At 40.1% G+C, this 19,558-nt stretch overlaps 3 annotated features.

The window, feature by feature from the left end:
* Positions 4,399-4,478: an enhancer, noted in NCBI's record as "active region_6221". NCBI's record gives its function as "activates an Ori minimal core promoter by ATAC-STARR-seq in GM12878 lymphoblastoid cells {active_cell/tissue: GM12878}" and the evidence as "EXISTENCE:reporter gene assay evidence [ECO:0000049][PMID:35858748]".
* Positions 4,489-4,538: an enhancer, noted in NCBI's record as "active region_6222". NCBI's record gives its function as "activates an Ori minimal core promoter by ATAC-STARR-seq in GM12878 lymphoblastoid cells {active_cell/tissue: GM12878}" and the evidence as "EXISTENCE:reporter gene assay evidence [ECO:0000049][PMID:35858748]".
* Positions 4,639-4,688: an enhancer, noted in NCBI's record as "active region_6223". NCBI's record gives its function as "activates an Ori minimal core promoter by ATAC-STARR-seq in GM12878 lymphoblastoid cells {active_cell/tissue: GM12878}" and the evidence as "EXISTENCE:reporter gene assay evidence [ECO:0000049][PMID:35858748]".

The following is a 19,558-nucleotide window of genomic DNA, read 5'->3' on the forward strand; positions in this document are numbered from 1 at the left end:
AGATTAGCATCATCTCTCAGAAGTGAGTGGGTTATTACTCTTTCAGGAATTGATTAATTCTGGTGAGAACTGGTTGTTATAAAGTGACGTTCCCCCTTGTGTTTGGTCCTTTTTCATACAGGTCACTTCCCCTTTGACCTTTGGTCATGTTATGATGCAACAGGAAAGCCTTCACCGGAGGTCCAGCAGATGCTGACACCATGCTCTTCGATTTTCCAGCCACCAGAATCGTGAGGCAAATGAACTCATTTCTTTATAAATTACCCAGTCTCAGGTATTCTGTTATAGCAACACAAATGGACTAAAACACAGTCCCTACTACCTTTGATAGGTATTTAAAATGAAAAAAAAAATCCCACTATACTTGTACCTTTCAGTATATAGAAATTGTTCAGACTAGTTCAAACACCACCATCTGGCTTTAGAGGTGATTAACAGCTTTCTTCCAGTTACTTAACCAGCCTTAACATTTATTGAGCACGTTCAAAGATAGAAAGCTCTTATGGAATTAAACTTGGCGGAAAAGGATGGTTATAGATACACTCACAGCACATTCAGTAAGACTTTAAGGAGCCACCGTGACAGATCTGACTTCAGGAAGTTCTGCCAAACTGTCAGTTGCTGCTTGTAAACTGTGCAGCTTGGAACAAGAAAAACATGTATTACCTTGTCAGGAGGATGCAAAACTTGACTGAAACTCTTCTGGGCTTATCCATCTCACCTGATGTTAAAAATGAGCAATTGATTTCCCTCATACCATACAATCTGTTGAGGAAACTAGCAAAGGTACAATCTCAGGAAGAAGTAGGCCAATGTTACTATGTTATAGAAATGAGATGTTGGAAAAGTTTTGACAACACATAGAACTAATTAGAAAGCACCACTCAAAAAACAAAGCAAGTTACCATTATATAAAACATTTAAAGGTTGGTGGCCCAAAACTTATCTCAGGTTGTTCTGTCATTAATTGCAATGCTGGACTGGCATGCTAACTAGTAATAGTGCCTTCTTCTCTGCAAATAAATGATGTCTTTGAAAATATATTCTTCCAGAAAATCACTAAAGACAGATCATTTCAGAGATTAGAAAAGAAGCAGTACCATGATGCAAAAAAAAAAAAAAAAAAAAGTGAATAGGAAGCAACTTTTGGGTCTAAAATGTCACAATGAAAGATTTATCTTTCTATGTTTCTAAATCGGAAAACTAAGCCTTTTGTTCACTAAGGAGCAAGTAAAACTGTGAGAGGCCCCAGTGCTGAGGAGAGTGGCTGGTACATGGTGGAAAGTCAATAAATTATTCTGCAGTGAAGAAATAAATTGTTTTTTTGTTGTTTTTGATTTGTCAGATCACAATATTTATTGCAATACATCTGTTTACAGTTCACAAATAGGCAACTTTTATTAATTGGCATGAATTTAAAAGCTTATAGTGCAATGGATACAATCTCTTCTAGAGGACGAGGGTGACGATTTTCAAATTCCAGAAGAGAAACCACAGTATAGACTATATTTCTCTCATGGCTAGCTCATTGGACTGTTCTGAAAAAAATCCTTATTGTGTTATAAAGACCTTAAAACCCTTGAAAGTTATGTTTTCTTCGGGTTTATCTGGTACATAAGGGTATCTTTACAAATGCTTTCTTACAAAATCATTAGTCCTACAGGCAAGTGTATTTAACCCATTAATTTAGCATTGTCCCATCCTCCTTGGCCCTCTTAATCATGAATGAGGAGTATTATACTGAGGTGGATAAAAGCATGAACTATGTTTTCAGATTGCTGGGCTTGAACGTTGGCTTTGCCCACTTAATAGCTATGATATCTCATGAAGATCATTTTAGTTGGTTGTGCTTCAGTTTTACTATCTGTACCATGGGCCTAATGATAGCACTGCTATAAGAAATAAATTAGTAAATTTAACTTGTTAATTAACTTGGTTAATACACGTGAAGCATCTAGAAAGTAGAATATAGTAAGCACTACATAAATATTAACTATTTTATTATTCGTTATTATTTTAACACAGAAAATAATTTGTTTCTCACAGGCACAGATAATCATAAAAGTGAAATAAACAATGGGAAGGCAAATCCAAATGTAATATGTTAATTCATGATCTGTTACTTGATTTTGGTCAGTTCCATCTTTTGGTTTCCATATGGAAATTACCAGTTTTGAAGTCTCTGAGACTGATTCTGGATAAGAACTTATTTTGAAGATAATTTTATTATATTCCAGAATGATCAATACTGCTATCTTTATGAGGTCATTTGTGTCAATGGTTTATCAATTTTTTGAATTTATAAGGAGTTGCTTTTACTTTCCTCGATTATAGGAAATGGTAAACGGTACATCCAATTGCCCAGAAATGAGCTTGATTCCATCCTCTTCTCATCTTCCACATCAAATCTGTAAGTTCTTATAGTTCTATGTTTCTGATTCATCCACATTCCTGTACCTCCAGAGCCACTATCCTAGTCCAAGCTGACATTATCCCTTTCTCCTTTATCTTAAGCCAAATCTGCCTTCTATGCTCTTTAGATATTTGGGGCTTTTGCATTTGCTGTTCCTGTGTCTGAAATGATTTTAATCTAAGCATCACACAAGATTGCTACTTTCTCAGCTCTCATCTCTCAGCTCAGCTAGCTCTTCCTCAGAGAGTTCTCTGTTATCCTAAAGTTTCTCATCTACCCCAGTACTCTCTATTACATCACCCTATTTATTTCTGCTATGGACTGAATTGTGTCCTCTCAAAATGCATATGTTAAAGGTCTAACCTCTAATGTGATAGTATTTGGAGATGGGGTATTTGGTAGGTAATTATATTGAGATGAGGGAACGAGGGTAGCAACTTCATGTTGGAATCAGTGTCCTTATAGTCAGAGACTATAGAGCTTGTTCTCTCTCTACTATGTGAGGACACAGAGGGAAATACTCATCTGCAAGCCAGGAAGACAGACCTCACCAGAACTGAACTCTAGCAGAAATTTATCTTGGATTTTCCAGTCTCTAGAACTATGAGAAATAAATTTATCTTGTTTAAGCCACCCAGTCTGTGGTATTTTGTTATGGCAGCCCAAGCCAACACAATTTCCTGTATAGCATGTAGTGCAATCTGGATTGCTCTTATTTCTTTATTTAGCTCTGTAAGAGCCAGGACTTCACCATCTTGTTTTAATTCTTAAGGGCCAGGACGTTGTCATCTTGTTCATTGCCATAACCCAGAAACTGGAACACTGACTGACAATGTAGAGTAGATACTCACTAGCAATTTCTGAATAAATGAGCAATGATGCACAGATGAGATACTTTTTCCAGATGTGATGTTTTCTTTAAAGAACATTACCTGAGGGATGAAACGCTGAAGTTTTAGTAGAAACTCAGTTTATAGTCCACTGATTGAATCACAGATCCCACTCCATCTCATTTCTAAGCAAAAATAAATATACCTTCTCAGACAACTAGTTGCATATTTTTCTTTAAAAAATACCATGAAGTATAGAATCTATGTGTCACTGCCAATACTTTATGGCTAGGATATTATTCTTAAAGCAGGAGAACTCCATTTGGCAACATATGTCTCTTTTATTTCACTTGAATTCAGACTTGACTAAATACTTCTAGAAGACTAATAATGGAAATGGGTATGCCACCAGCTTATTTGCTTTAGGGACTGAGAGTGTGGACCTGGGGTGGGTGAAGTTAATCTAAAGAATAAAGGACTGAGGTTCATAAGTTTGAACAAAGGGAAATGGACCATTTTAGGGGGCAAACTAATTACAAAAGGGAAGAGCAATTTTGGATGGAACACAAAGTTTCTTACCCCTGTCCCTGAAAGGAGAAGGGACTACATCAAAAAATCCAAAGGCACCCTAAAGAGCTATTTTACTGTGATCTGTGGAGACAGCTGGGGTAGAAGCAACTCTTCTCTGTAGTCTGGGAGGAGTGAAGACCACAGGACAGCAAACGAGGGTTTCCAATTTGCCATTCCTGTTGGAGCACAGTGTGGACCCAGAGTCCCAGCAGCAAACCAGAACAATGACATCTGGAATGGAGATACTACAGGGGGGGACATCTTATCTTTGTGACTTTATTCACCTCTGGCTTCTATGGTAGCAAGTCATTATGTCAGTGGAGAAAAGGACATGTCAGCCAAGAAATATCCCCCCAAAGACTCCTGAAATTTTATGGGTTTAATTAACGTGATCTGCTAAGAAAGGAATTGATTCTATTGTTGAAATTTTAATTTTTAGTTCCAGGCTGGTGTACTAGGTCATAGGCATTGCATCCTTAATATATAATTTCAGTGTTCATTGGGACTTTTGTCCTTAGTATTAGCAATAAATGCTGCTTAATGAATCAGCTCTGAATTTTGCCTCATATGATGACTACTCTAACAATATTCATACAGTTCTTTACAGTGTACACAACCAAACCATTTCAGCAACTCAATAATGAGAGTAAAGTTTGGGTCCTAGGGAAGGAGCTCAGTGAACTCTGAGGGAAGTCATGTACTTTCACTTTAATTCTTCATTCTTCTTAGTCAGACTGAGAAATTCAGTGCTTAAGGGCAAAGCTTCTCACAGTGCTTAACATGTACAAATAATTTCGCTCTTACCTTTCCCCTACTGTGGTAGGGTACCATTAAAGCCCAAGAGAAAGGAAAGAAAAATTCAATATGATACAGCCAGCACTGATGGGACCCTTTCTTCTCCCTTTCTATCCAGGCCTGGCCCCTGAACAACCTTGAGAAAACTGCAACTAGGTTAGGAGGACTCACATCAAAAGGAGCCTCTGTCCAGGCTGTCTCATCCTAATTGTAAAATATTAAAATAACCTGCTCGTGATATTCATGCATTACAAAGAGTGTTCTACAAAAGATTTTTAAAACCTCACATTAAAAAAATAATATATATATATATTCACTAATTAAAAAGAAGGTGAAAAATATTACATGGTTTTTTATCCAAGGAGGAGGAGTATAACACCTAAATCCACAATTTTCTCCATTTTCTGTTAGGACTTCCCATTTCACAGATGAGAAAATTAAAGATCTAAGAGATTTAATGACAAATAGGTAGTAAAACCAAACCTCCATCTCCAGAATTGTCTTCCTCATTTTTTTTTTTTTTTTGTCAATTTTGAAACTTCAAGAGGACTCTTGATACATAGCATTGACTCAGGCTCCTTTACTCAAATGAATTTTGTGCATTAAGTTGCTTTCCTCTGAATTTATAATTCGTTTTTACATTTTTTGAATGAAACTTCAGAGTATCAACTGATCTTTAAGTTCTGCTAGTCTATAAACGTGTTCTTATTTCTGCAGCAGGGATTTCATCTTTAGTACAATCTATGTCTTCTGCTGACATTCTGATTCATCTAGAAAACTTTGGTATGGCCCCAACTCAAGTCTCTTTTCACAGGGACTGAGAAGCCTCCTGGAAAAAGAGTTCACCTAAAGGGAAGAAGGAACGAGGAATGCATATTTATAACAAAGTCTTTGTCATTGAAAGGGAATAAGAAATTTCAGCATAACATAGTGGCCATCACTCAAATACATGTCTCACCCAGATGCATGTCTAGAATGAGAAAAATTTAACTAAAATAGAAAGAGCAGTTTTACACAAAAGCTCTGAAAGTGTTGGTGTAGAGGCAGTGCTGCTTGGTGATCTCTCGGACAAATTATAACACAAAGGGAAGAAAGGCATGCTACCTTTCCCCATTTAACCACTGTGAGACTTGAGCACATATTCATTGATGCCTGGGGGAGCAGTGGGAGAGCCTACTAGAAGATTATGGTGCCCAAGGTAATCGTTGAAAGCTAATGGAGCAATAGCAGAGTCCCAAAAGGGCATAACTGTTTATGAGAACACATTAGGAACCCTTTTGGGTTTTGTGGAAATACTTGGTGGTGAACATTGCAAAGCCTTATATCAGAAACTCAGATTGGATTTTACCCTTCTTCAGCTTCTGTCAATTGAATGTGTAGGACTACAGAGGGTAGGATAGGGATGAGGCAGGAATAAGTTGGCAACATATTCCCATGCTCCAATATAGCAAGGTTATTTAATTGTAATGTAATTGTAATTGATGTCAGTATAATATATGTAGCAGCCTACATCCAGTAATTGTCAATGCAATTTCAGCATTCTGTCATATATTCCAGTTCCTGTGCCCATTTCTACTAGGGCTTTAGTCAATTGCAGAGAGAGGACAAAACGTAAATGTAACAGTAAAGCAGGTAGGAGCCTCATTCAAAACATTTCATCTTCAGCTAATCTGTGACAAAGTAAATCAGTCTCTCTCTCTCTCTTTCTATATATATATATATTTTTTTCTCTGCCTAAGGAATAAGGAGGTAGAGTATTTCTGGTGTACGTATATATGTTATTTGTGTAAAAACTACATGTATACATATATTCAACATTTTATATTTTATTGTATAGGTACATGTTTACATATATTTTACTTATATGTACATACATACATATATATATTAGTAGGTATTTTTGCTTCATATGCCTTATTTTCTTTATCAGCTCTTCAGTAGTGACTGTATTTGATTTTTCATAAATATTTCCATGGAATATTGTTGATTTTTCTTCTTAAATGGATGAGCCACTTTTGTCCAAGGTTAATGGAGGACGTGTTGTCCTACTGGTCGTTTTTTAAAATTCATAAATCTATCCAGTTAGAAAATTTTAATGTTTTCAGAAAGGTTACAGGAAGAGATGTAGAGATCATGTGCTTATTAAAGAAAATTGCTTTAGACATTTTAAAAATGAAAAATGCTATTTCTGGGCATTTACACAACTACAAATGTAAAATTATAATGGGCAAGGTGACTCTGGTTCAACATAGGTACATTAACCAAAATCACAAGTCACAGCTACATCCAGATTGCGTGACCCTTTTGTCTAGTTTCATGGAAAAAACATTAGATAAGGACCCAGGTCTTATAGGAAATATAAAAAGTAGTCTTGACCTAGGGCCAAAAAGGACATTTGCAGGCAAAATTAGTGAGTGAGAAGACCACTTAAAATATTCCGAGTACTGCAGATTGTATTTCAGAGGACTCCGTGTTTGGAGAGCAAAACTGGTGGGGGGATCTAAGTTTACTTGATGTGGAGAGAGGCTGGTATTCTCTTAGCTTTAGAAAACAGACAAACAGAATATTTGCACATAGTTCAGGTTCTGCCCTATGCCTGTGTATCAAAACCATAAAACATTTCATAGATATTAATATTTTACTCTAATTTTATGGCACATAAAATTGGTCAATATCGTGAGTGTGTTATAATAATAGCAATTCCATTACTTACTAATTGTTGATCTTAAGTCTAATACTTTGCTTTTCTTAGACTTAGTTTCCCATCTGTAAAAGGGAAAAAATAGTTTTTTTTGTAAACATCTTAGAATTGTGAGGATTAAAAGAGAAAATATTCATGCAAGTTCTATATAAATGTAAAGTATCTTTGATGAACATTACATTTAACAAACACTTGATCAGTGTGTCTCCATGTACAAATAACATAAAGATCCAGAAACTTCTTGCAAAGTAGCAGTAAAAAAGGAAGGGATAGAGGGAGGGAGGGAAGAGAAAAGAGAAGGGAAAGAATAAATCAACTAATCTATTTAAGACACATTTTCTCTAAAAAAAAAAAAAAAACCCTGAATTTAGTCTTATTGACTCTTGTGAATAGACATCATGCTCTCCACTGATGAGCTCCTATTAGAAGTACTAAACCAAACAAAATGTAAGAAAACACTACTAATTCACTTGCCATAGGCTTAGAATTTGTAAAAGCAGAGAAATACTGTTTTATAGTCATGTTTTACTATCCATGAATATCTATCAGCTAAGAAAATTCACATATGTAAATAAGATTATAGGTAGAAAGAAAGTTTAAAGCTCTTGAAAATAAACTTTTCAAGATGCCCTCAGGCCCTTTAACAATATAATTTGCATATAAATAATTGACACCTAATTATAAATCATTTTGATCTGTTCATCAAAGCAGGTTCCAAAGGACTGCTGGTAAGCAGGGCTTTGTTTGCCTAGTTCCAATTACTGTATTAATTAAAATTTAATTGAACAACCAAGCTTAATTAATTAATTAAATAACATAATAGAAAAGGAACAGTAAAAACAGTGCAATTTTACAATTATGACTGCTAGTATCAGATTAGCTTCCCCAGGACATATGAATTACTGCAGTCTTCATGCAGTTGCATTTACTTTCATTTTTTAACCCTTTAATTCTCAAATGTTTCACATTTGTAACCTTTGAACTTCCCATCTCCTAACTCTGTCAAGTGCAGTCTTGACATGTTTGTCTTTAGCTTTCACATCCAAGCTCCAAGGTGGGTTTGTTCAGCCAGCTTATTCATAAATATTTGAACTTCACCAAAGTGTGTAGTTTTGGTTGAATGATTTACAACAGAGACAGAGAAGGTGGTGTGACATTATGACTCATAGTCACAGCTCTGGTTTTAAGACTTAGGAAAATCCCAGCTACTCAGGAAACTGAGGCAGGAGAATCGCTTGAACCAGGGAGTTGGAGGTTGCAGTGAGCCGACATTGTGCCACTGCATTCCAGCCTGGTGACAGAGAGAGACTCCGTCTCAAAAAACAAAAACAAAACAAAAACAAACAAAAAGACTTACGAAAAACTAATATGAGAAGCTTGATTAATTTTCACAGCATTTTGTTAGTCTGCTTAATTTTCGAATTCTCTTTCGTACTTAGAAAATGTGCTTGGCCTAGTAGTTCCTTTCTTTAGGATTGTTAGCAATTCCTGGAAAGGGTCTAGGGAGTAAGTAAGGTTACTGAGTTGGAAGTTTTTCAGTTCTCCCTCAGCCTTTAAATAAAGCCTCTGATCTAGAAAATTGGTGAGAGCAGTGCTGTGTCTTGACTTTGGCCCCATTACAGACAGTTGCTGATTCATCTGAGCAGAACTCTCACTGTACTTTGCTTGGTCATAGTCAGAAGAGAGGTGAGGTAGGAGTCTCATCCTGGGAGTGGACATGCAACACAAAGGGAAAATATTAAAAGAGAAGCTGAGACTCAGGGTCACTGTACCTGTCAGTTTCCTTGCCCACCCCATTCCCAACCAGCACAGCCAAAAACTATCCTCCCAACATGCCAACTCTTTCTCACTCTCTTTCCCGCTTCATTATACATTGAGCAAATGATCACCTCTTGTTACCATGAAGCTTCCATTATTTTTTGACCCACTGCAAATGTGTTTGGGCAGTAGAACAAATAAAACACCTTTCTGATTGTGTTTGGAAAGTTTTTAGAGTAATAGTATATTAAGCAGTTGCCAGGCATGGACACTATAATGGGAGGACAGGAACCATGGCTTTCTTTTTAAATTTTTGCTTCCTGCCTGTAGCATCCATTATCATACCTGGCATACCACAGGGTTCTAATAAATGTTTGGATAAGTAGCAATGGATAAATAATCTTAAAGTCACTGCAGAAACAAGTCTTGTCCTTCGGGTCTGATTTGCCAGGCTTCATTGTTCTATTTCTCTCTGTTTGCTTTTTCACAAGTCCTGTTGTTTTGATAAGTGGGTGCTATAAAAACAATTTAAATTACCACAAGGTTAATTCTTACATTGTATTGTAGTCAAAATGATGCAGATTCGTAGGAAATTAAGACTCACTTGCATGAAAGTTTAAATGTATTCTGTATCAGTCTAAAACTGAGGACGCACTTGGCTGAACTCCGGAGGTATAGAATGTAGTATTTCATTAACATTTCCTGGTAGCTTTCAAAATGTTATCCAGTGCTCAGGCAACAATCCAGGATTCCTGCTATGGCTAATTTAAAATCCGCCAAAGTCAATGGTCATTCTTCTAAAGTTAGAAAAAAAAATCAATAAGTCAGTTCAACATTGTGGTTTTCAAGACTTCAGCATCCAGTAACGATGGACTGCGTAATTTGGAGTAACACTGTCACTGAGGACAACTAGAAAATATGGACAAGAGATAAAAAATCATCCACTTGAGGACATCAGAGAGATAACAGAACAATGAGGAATATCGGGCCAAGATTGGAAAAAGAAAGGGACTCCTACCCTAATGATGTTAACCCAGTAATTGGGGCTGGTTTTGCCCCGGGAATATTTGTTGATCCAGATGAGGCTGCTAAGACTAACTAGAGTTTTCACAACCTTAAAAAGGGTACACGGCTGAACACTGAGTTTGGTAAACCACCTTTATCTTGGATTGGGACTCAAAAGGCTATGCTTCAGGAGTAAGGGTAACCCAGAAGTAAACTAGCCTTCTCCCTAGCTCTAGCCTGGCCCAGATCACCCAGAACAATCTCATCCTGAAATTGGATTAAAATAATCCTTGTTGGCCTGGTGCTGTGGCTCATGCCTGTAATCCCAGCACTTTGGGAGGCTGAGGCATGAGGGTCACCTTAGCTCAGGAGTTTGAGACCACCTTGGGCAACATGGCAAATCCCAGTCTTTACCAAGAAATTTAAAAAAAAAAATTGACAGGCATGGTGGTGCACACCTGTGGTCTCATCTACTCAGGAGGTTTGGGAGGATCGCTTGAGCCTGGGAGGCTGAGGTTGTAGTGAGCCAAAATCATGCCACTGTACTCCAGTCTGAGTGACATAGTGAGAACCCCCGTTAAAAAAAAAAAAAATCCTTGTTTTTTAATGCCCCCCAGGTACCTATAGAAGCAAATAAAAATTCTCCTAGAGGAATATAATATTATTCTATGCCTCAAATTATATCTAGGAATGTTTTTTTCAAACCAAAGTCCTGCACACAGTCAATGATATAACCAAGCCCATGAGGAGATAAGACAACATGAATGAGAACCAGCAGAAAAATATAGACGACAGGAAACATCCAGAAGCTGCAGATATCAAGTGGGAATTATTAGATTTCAAAGTCACTAAAAATAATTTAAAATTAATTTTATTTCAACTAGAATTTATCTAGTACTAGTCTAGATAAATTCAAGGATATAAATACAAATAGGTTATAATCTCTACTTTCAGGAAAATTAGAGTAAAGACATAGAAAATATGTATGCAGTTTTCCTCTTTTATTTATTATGTTTTTATGCAAGGACTGGTAAAATAAAAGAGCAAAGAAAGAAAAAGGTAAGGGAAATTTCTATCCCCATTAGCTTCCGAGCAAGCATGAGAAAGAGGAATTTAGAGGCAAATATCACTATAAGGGTAAATATTAGAAATAGGGAAAATTGACCAAGGTGATGGAAGGAGTGGCTCATCTGAGAAAGTAATGATTGGGCTAAGAACAAAGCATAGGATTTTACTGGTGTTATCTTCTAAATAATAGCTTGAATACATGACTCCTTGACTTCAAACCTGTAGTGACTCTGTATCCACTATATGATAATGTCTGTGTAGCAGGCTTATTAAATTTACTGAATCAGAAGGTACAATCATTTTTCAGCTAGATGTAGAATTAAATTAAATTAATTAATTAAGTCTAAATTAATACTTTAATTTACCATCCAATTTAAAGCTAGGGGTTCCCGCAGCAAGGAAGTGATATGGGAGCATGGTCTGGTTTTCTTTTCTCTGATTCCCCCTCTCAATCTCTTCCCCCTAGCTTTTAGGATCTGAGCTAGAGAAAAAAAAAGACTAAGAAAAAAAGAGGTAGTCATTTAATCAGATGGGGCTGCATCAACTTCTCTCTTAGCCACAAGTGATCTTCCAACAGCTGCATTCAAGTCCTGGCTTCCTTGTGGTGCATATTTGTGAGCTCCTTAGGGGCATTTCCACACTGTACAATTCATGCAGTGGGTGAAGTATTCTCTGGTGAGTCTGTTTTGCACCCTTCCACAGCTCCCATCCCTATGCAACCACTTCTGCCCCGGGAACACAACCCACTGTGTCTTGTCCCTGAGGCACTCTTACCCTGAAGGCAGTTCTTCCTTGGTGACCATCTAGGAGACACACTTGGACACCATAAGGCCGAGAGAGGAAACTGCCCTGTTGCTGCCCTGTTTCTCAGCCTTGCTTCTCCTACTCCTAGTGTAGATCTTGACTCAGCTTCCCACCTTCAGGATTCTCTGGTCAAGAAATACATACAACCCCCAGGTCCATGTGTGTTTCCCAGGGACTCCCTCACTGCCTTCCATTCTTGCAGCTCTACTGGGAAGAACACAAGAGTTTCTACAGCTGAACAAGCACGAACTCAGGAGTGAAATGCTGGCCTTGCCTCTTTGCAGGCGCCCTCAGTTTCTCTGAATGTCTTGTTCTCTCTCTCTCTCTCCCAATTTCTCCCTCTCTCTCTCACCCTTCATTCTAAGTCCTCCCCTCTCCTCTTGACTTAGAAAGAGGAAGGGAAGTAATGTGAAATGCCAAGTATTTTTTCCCCAAGCATAAGATTCACCGCCTCTATTAATCTCCTCTTTAACAAACTGAATTCTTATATAAGCCAGAAGGAGGGGTGAAGAGAAGAGGAAAAAGATGCTTTGGACTGTTCTTGATAAGACTTAATGAGGTGTGTGTTGTACCTCTTAAAAGAAATTGTCCTTAACTTTGGGATTTTAGACAAACTTATAAAGAACAAGAAGAATTGTGTTCAATATCCAGGCACGTTTGATTTCCTAATTATGCCAAAAGACATTCATGGTATGACTCCTGATTGATTACCTCTCATGCCTTTCCCCATACTTGGAACACATTCCAAGTGTTCTCAACTACTTGCAACATCTCAAACATGTCTTGTTATTTCATGCCTCTCCTAAACTCCTTCAAATCTCAGTTGTTCCCCACTTGGTGTTCCAAATACCTGTCCATTTCTCCAAACAAAAGCAAACATCTCTTCTGTGGAAACATTTTTCCTTCATTATCCCATTGCTTCTTCATATGTGTTTATCACTAAATTGAAAGGTAATTGTTGAATTCAATCAAAATTTATTGAGTATCTTCCAAGAGATGAAAATTATTCTCATTATTCTAGGAGCTCCATGAGGCCAGAGGGTATGCCTTATTTACATTATGTTCCCAGACCAATGTAAACATCTGTAGGAGACAAGAAAATGTCACCCCAAAATATGAAGGGTTGTTGAGTTGAAGGCAATTAAAAAGAAACAGATACAGGAAAGTTCTCTGCCCTCCCTCTATTTACCTAAAAGCAGGACACACATTTACAAAGGCAAAAGGTTTTCTGCCCCCTCCTCCTACCGCAGAGAACATAGGTCAATCACTGAAGACAACTTTAGACCTTTATCATCTAGAGATGATACTGTCAGGCTTCTGAGTCCAAGCTAAGCCATCATAGCCCCTGTGACCTGCACATACACATCCAGATGGCCAGTTCCTGCCTTAACTGATGACATTCTACCACAAAAGAAGTGAAAATGGCCAATTCCTGCCTTAACTGATGACATTATCTTGTGAAATTCCTTCTCCTGGCTCATCCTGGCTCAAAAGCTCCCCTACTGAGCACCTTGTGACCCCAGAGAACACCTGCCCACCAGAGAACGACCCCCCTTTGACTGTAATTTTCCTTTACCTACCCAAATCTTATAAAATGGCCCCACCCCTATCTCTCTTTGCTGTCTTTTCGGACTCAGCCCACCTTTACCCGGGTGAAATAAACAGCCTTGTTGCTCACACAAAGCCTGTTTGGTGGTCTCTTCACATGGATGTGCATGAAATTTGGTGCTGTGACTTGGATCGGGGGACCTCCCTTGGGAGATCAATCCCCTGTCCTCCTGCTCTTTGCTCGGTGAGAAAGATCCACCTACGACCTCGGGTCCTCAGACCGACCAGCCCTAGGAACATCTCACAAATTTCAAATCCGGTAAGCGGCCTCGTTTTACTCTCTTCTCCAACCTCCCTCACTATCCCTCAACCTCTTTCTCCTTTCAATCTTGGCGCCACACTTCAATCTCTCCCTTCTCTTAATATCGATTCCTTTCATTTTCTGGTAGAGACAAAGGAGACACATTTTATCCGTGGACCCAAAACTCTGGCGCCTGTCACGGACTCAGGGAGGCAGCCTTCCCTTGGTGTTTAACCATTGCAGGATGCCTCTGTGATTATTCACTCATGTTCCATTGGTGTCTGATTTCTGCGGGGACGCCTGCCTTGATCATTCACCCACGTTCCCTTGGTGGCAAGTCAATTGTGGGGATGCCTGCTTTGGCTGCTCACCCACGTTGGAGCCCAGGGCTTCTCCCCACCCCCTTCTCCGTGTCTCTACTCTTCTCTTTAAACTTGCCTCCTTCACTATAGGCAAACTTCCACCCTCCATTCCTCCTTCTTCTCCCTTAGCCTGTGTTCTTAAGAACTTAAAACCTCTTCAACTCTCACCTGACCTAAAATCTAAGCATCTTATTCTCTTCTGCAATGCTGCTTGACCCCAATACAAACTCAACAGTAGTTCCAAATAGCCAGAAAATGGCACTTTCAATTTTTCCATCCTACAAGATCTAAATAATTCTTGTCGTAAAATAGGCAAACGGTCTGAGGTGCCTGACGTCCAGGCATTCTTTTACACATTGGGCCCTCCCTAGTCTCTGTTCTCAATGCAACTCATCCCAAATCTTCCTTCCCTCCCACCTGTCCCCTCAGTCCCAACCCCAAGCGTCGCTGAGTCTTTCTAATCTTCCTTTTCTACAGACCCATCTGACCTCTCCCCTCCTCTCCAGGCCGAGCTAGGTCCCAATTGTTCCTCAGCCTCTGCTCCTCCACCCTATAATCCTTTTTTCACCTCCCCTCCTCACACCCGGTCTGACTTACAGTTTCGTTCTGTGACTAGCCCTCCCCAACCTGCCCAGCAATTTCCTCTTAAAAAGGTGGCTGGAGCTAAGGCATAGTCAAGGTTAATGCTCCTTTTTCTTTATCCCAAATCAGATAGCATTTAGGCTCTTTTTCATCAAATGTAAAAACCCAGCCCAGTTCATGGCTCATTTGGCAGCAACCCTGAGATGCTTTACAGCCCTAGACCCTAAAAGGTCAAAAGGCTGTCTTATTCTCAATATACATTTTATTACCCAATCTGCTCGCAACATTAAATAAAACTCCAAAAATTAAATTCCGGCCCTCAAACCCCACAACACGACTTGATTAACCTTGCCTTCAAAGTGTACAATAATAGAGTAGAGGCAGCCAATTAGCAACATATTTCTGAGTTGCAATTCCTTGCTTCCACTGTGAGACAAACCCCAGCCACATCTCCAGCACACAAGAACTTCCAAACGCCTAAACTGCAGTGGCCGGGCATTCCTTCAGGCCCACCTCCCCCAGGAGCTTGCTACAAGTGCCAGAAATCTGGCCACAAGGCCAAGGAATGCCCACAGCCTGGGATTCCTCCTAAGCCATGTCCCATCTGTGTGGGACCCCACTGGAAATTGGACTGTCCAACTCACCTGGCAGCCACTCCCAGAACCCCTGGAACTCTGGCCCAAGGCTGTCTGACTGACTCCTTCCCAGATCTTCTCAGCTTAGCGGCTGAAGACTGACACTGCCTGATCGCTTCGGAAGCCCCTAGACCATCGTGGGCACCGAGCTTCGAGTAAGTCTCACAGTGGAAAGTAAGTCCGTCCCCTTCTTAATCAATATGGAGGCTACCCACTCCACATTACCTTCTTTTCAAAGGCCTGTTTCTCTTGCTTCCATAACTGTTGTGGGTATTGACGGCCATGCTTCTAGACCTCTTAAAACTCCCCAACTCTGGTGCCAACTTAGACAGTACTTTTTTAAGCACTCCTTTTTAGTTATCCCCACCTGCCCAGTTCCCTTATTAGGCTGAGACACTTTAAATTATCTGCTTCCCTGACTATTCCTGGACTACAGCCACATCTCATTGCCGCCCTTCTTCCCAATCCAAAGCCTCCTTTGCGTCCTCCTCTTGTATCCCCTAACCTTAACCCACAAGTATAGGATACCTCTACTCCCTCCTTGGTGACTGATCATGCACCCCTTACCATCTCATTAAAACCTAATCACCCTTACCCCGCTCAACGCCAATATCCCATCCCGCAGCATGCTTTAAAAAGATTAAAGCCTGTTTATCACTCGCCTGCTACAACATGGCCTTTTAAAGCCTGTAAACTCTCCTTACAATTCCCCCATTTTACCTGTCCTAAAACCAGACAAGCCTTACAAGTTAATTCAGGATCTGCACCTTATCAACCAAATTGTTTTGACTATCCACCCCATAGTGCCAAACCCATATACTCTCCTATCCTCAATACCTCCCTCCACAATCCATTATTCTGTTCTGGATCTCAAACATGCTTTCTTTACTATTCCTTTGCACCCTTCATCCCAGCCTCTCTTTGCTTTCACTTGGACTGACCCTGACACCCATCACGCTCAGCAAATTATCTACGCTGTACTGCCACAAGTCTTCACAGACAGCCCCCATTACTTCAGTCAAGCCCAAATTTCATCCTCATCTGTTACCTATCTCGGCATAATTCTCATAAAAACACACGTGCTCTCCCTGCTGATCGTGTTTGACTAATCTCCCAAACCTCAATCCCTTCTACAAAACAACAACTCCTTTCCTTCCTAGGCATGGTTAGTGCAGTCAGAATTCTTACACGAGAGCCAAGACTGCACCTTGTAGCCTTTCTGTCCAAACAACTTGACCTTACTGTTTTAGCCTAGCCCTCATGTCTGCGTGCAGTGGCTGCTGCTGCTTTAATACTTTTAGAGGCCCTAAAAATCACAAACTATGCTCAACTCACTCTCTACAGTTCTCATAACTTCCAAAATCTATTTTCCTCTTCATACCTGATGCATATACTTTCTGCTTCCCGGCTCCTTCAGCTATGCTCACTCCTTGTTGAGTCTCCCACAATTACCATTGTTCCCAGCATGGACTTCAGTCCGGCCTCCCACATTATTCTGGATATTACACCTGACCCTCATGACTATATCTCTCTGATCCACCTGATCCCCATATTTCTTTATTTCCTGTTCCTCACCCTGATCACATTTAGTTTATTGATGGCAGTCCCACCAGGCCTAATTGCCATTCACCAGCAAAAGCAGGCTATGCTATAGTATCTTCCACATCTATCATTGAGGCTACCACTCTGCCCCCCTCCACTACCTCTCAGCAAGCCAAACTAGTTGCCTTAACTCAAGCCCTCACTCTTGCAAAAGGACTACACATCAATATTTATACTGACTCTAAATATGCCTTTCGTATTCTGCACCACCATGCTGTTATATAGGCTGAAAGAGGTTCCCTCACTGCTCAAAGGTCCTCCGTCATTAATTAATGCCTCTTTGATAAAAACTGCTCGAGGCCGCTTTACTTCCAAAGGAAGCTGGAGCCCTTTTACTGCAAAGGCCATCAGAAGGCATCAGATCCCATTGCTCTAGGCAACACTTAGGCTGATAAAGTGGCTATACAAGCAGTTAGCTTTCCAACTTCGTCCCTCATGGCCAGTTTTTCTCCTTCACATCGGTCACTCCCACCTACTAGCCCGCTGAAACTTCACCTATCAATCTCTTCCCACACAAGGCAAATAGTTCTTAGACCAAGGAAAATATCTCCTTCCAGCCTCATGGCCCATTCTATTCTGTTGTCATTTCATAACCTCTTCCTTGTAAGTTGCAAGCTGCTAGCCCATCTCTTAGAACCTCTCATTTCCTTTCCATCCTGGAAATCTATCCTCAAAGAAATCACTTCTCAGTGTTCCATCTACTATTCTACCACCCCTCAGGGATTGTTCAGGCCCCCTCCCTTTCCTACACATCAAGCTCGAGGATTTGCCCCTGCCCAAGACTGGCAAATTGACTTTACTCACATGCCCCTAGTCAGAAAACTAAAATACCTCTTAGTCTAGGTAGACACTTTCAGTGGGTAGGTAGAGGCCTTTCCCACAGGGTCTGAGAAGGCCACTGTGGTCATTTTTTCCCTTCTGTCAGACATAATTCCTCGGTTTGGCCTTCCCACCTCTGTACAGTCTGATAGGAGACCGGCCTTTATTAGTCAAATCAGCCAAGCATTTTTTCAGGCTCTTAGTATTTAGTGAAACCTTTATATCCCTTACAGTCCTCAATCTTCAGGAAAAGTAGAACAGACTAATAGTCTTTTAAAAACACACCTCACCAAGCTCAGCCACCAGCTTAAAAATGACTAGACAATACTTTTACCACTTTCCTTTCTCAGAATTCAGGACTATCCTCGGAATGCTACAGGGTACAGCCCATTTGAGCTCCTATATAGACCTCCTTTTTATTAGGCCCCAGTCTCATTCCAGACACCAGACCAACTTGGACTGTGCCCCAAAAAATTTGTCATCCCTACTATCTTCTGTCTAGTCATACTCCTATTCACCATTCTCAACTACTCATACATGCCCTGCTCTTGTTTACACTGCGCTCTTGTTTACACTGCCAGTTTACACTGTTTCTCCAAGCCATCACAGCTGATATCTCCTGGTGCTATCCCCAAACTGCCACTCTTAACTCTTAAAGTAAATAAATAATCTTTGCTGGCAGGACTATGCTGAATCTCCTTAGGCACTCTCTAATTAAATGTCCTAGGTCCTCCCAATTCTTAGACATTTAATACCTGTTTTTCTCCTTCTCTTATTCCATTTAGTTTTTCAATTCATGCAAAACCATATCCAGGCCATCACCAATAATTCTAAATGACAAATGTTTCTTCTAACAACCCCACAATATCATCCCTTACTACAAAATCTTCCTTCAGCTTAATCTCTCCCACTCTAGGTTCCCGTGCCGCCCCTAATCCCCCTGGAAGCAGCCCTGAGAAACATCGCCCATTATCTCTCCATACCACCCCCAAAAATTTTCACAATCCCAACATTTTACCACTATTTCATTTTATTTTTCTTATTAATATAAGAAGACAGGAATGTCAGGCCTCTGAGGCCAAGCTAAGCCATCATATCCCCTGTGACCTGTACATACACATCCAGATGGCCAGTTCCTGCCTTAACTGATGACATTTCACCACAAAAGAAGTGAAAATGGTCTGTTCCTGCCTTAACTGATGACATTACCTTGTGAAATTCCTTCTCCTGGCTCATCCTGGCTCAAAAGCTCCCCTACTGAGCACCTTGTGACCCCCACACCTGCCCGCCAGAGAACAACCCCTCTTTGACTGTAATTTTTCTTTACCTATCCAAATCTTATAAAATGGCCCCACCCCTATCTCCCTTCGCTGGCTCTCTTTTCGGACTCAGCCCGCCTGCACCCAGGTGAAATAAACAGCCTTGTTGCTCACACAAAGCCTGTTTGGTGGTCTCTTCACAGGGATGCCCGTGAAAGATACCAGAGGAATCTACATGAACAAGCTGTACTAATGAGCCTTTATCTGCCATTTATTTTTCTACTCACAAGTTCTCACCCCTGGAACTCAAAGTCATTTTCCTTTAGTCTCATCACTTCTCTAAAATTTGTTGTTCATTGTTAAGATGCTATATACGCTGGAATTTGAAGCCACCTCTTGGAGGACTACATATTCCCTGGTCATCTCCATGTATATGTGAAATTAGACTTCTGTTTTCCTCTTGCTGATCTGTCTTTTATTATAGGGGCCCATTCCAACTAAGGCCC

Source organism: Homo sapiens, chromosome 12 (assembly GCF_000001405.40).
Source record: "Homo sapiens chromosome 12, GRCh38.p14 Primary Assembly".
Classification (NCBI taxonomy): domain Eukaryota; kingdom Metazoa; phylum Chordata; class Mammalia; order Primates; family Hominidae; genus Homo; species Homo sapiens.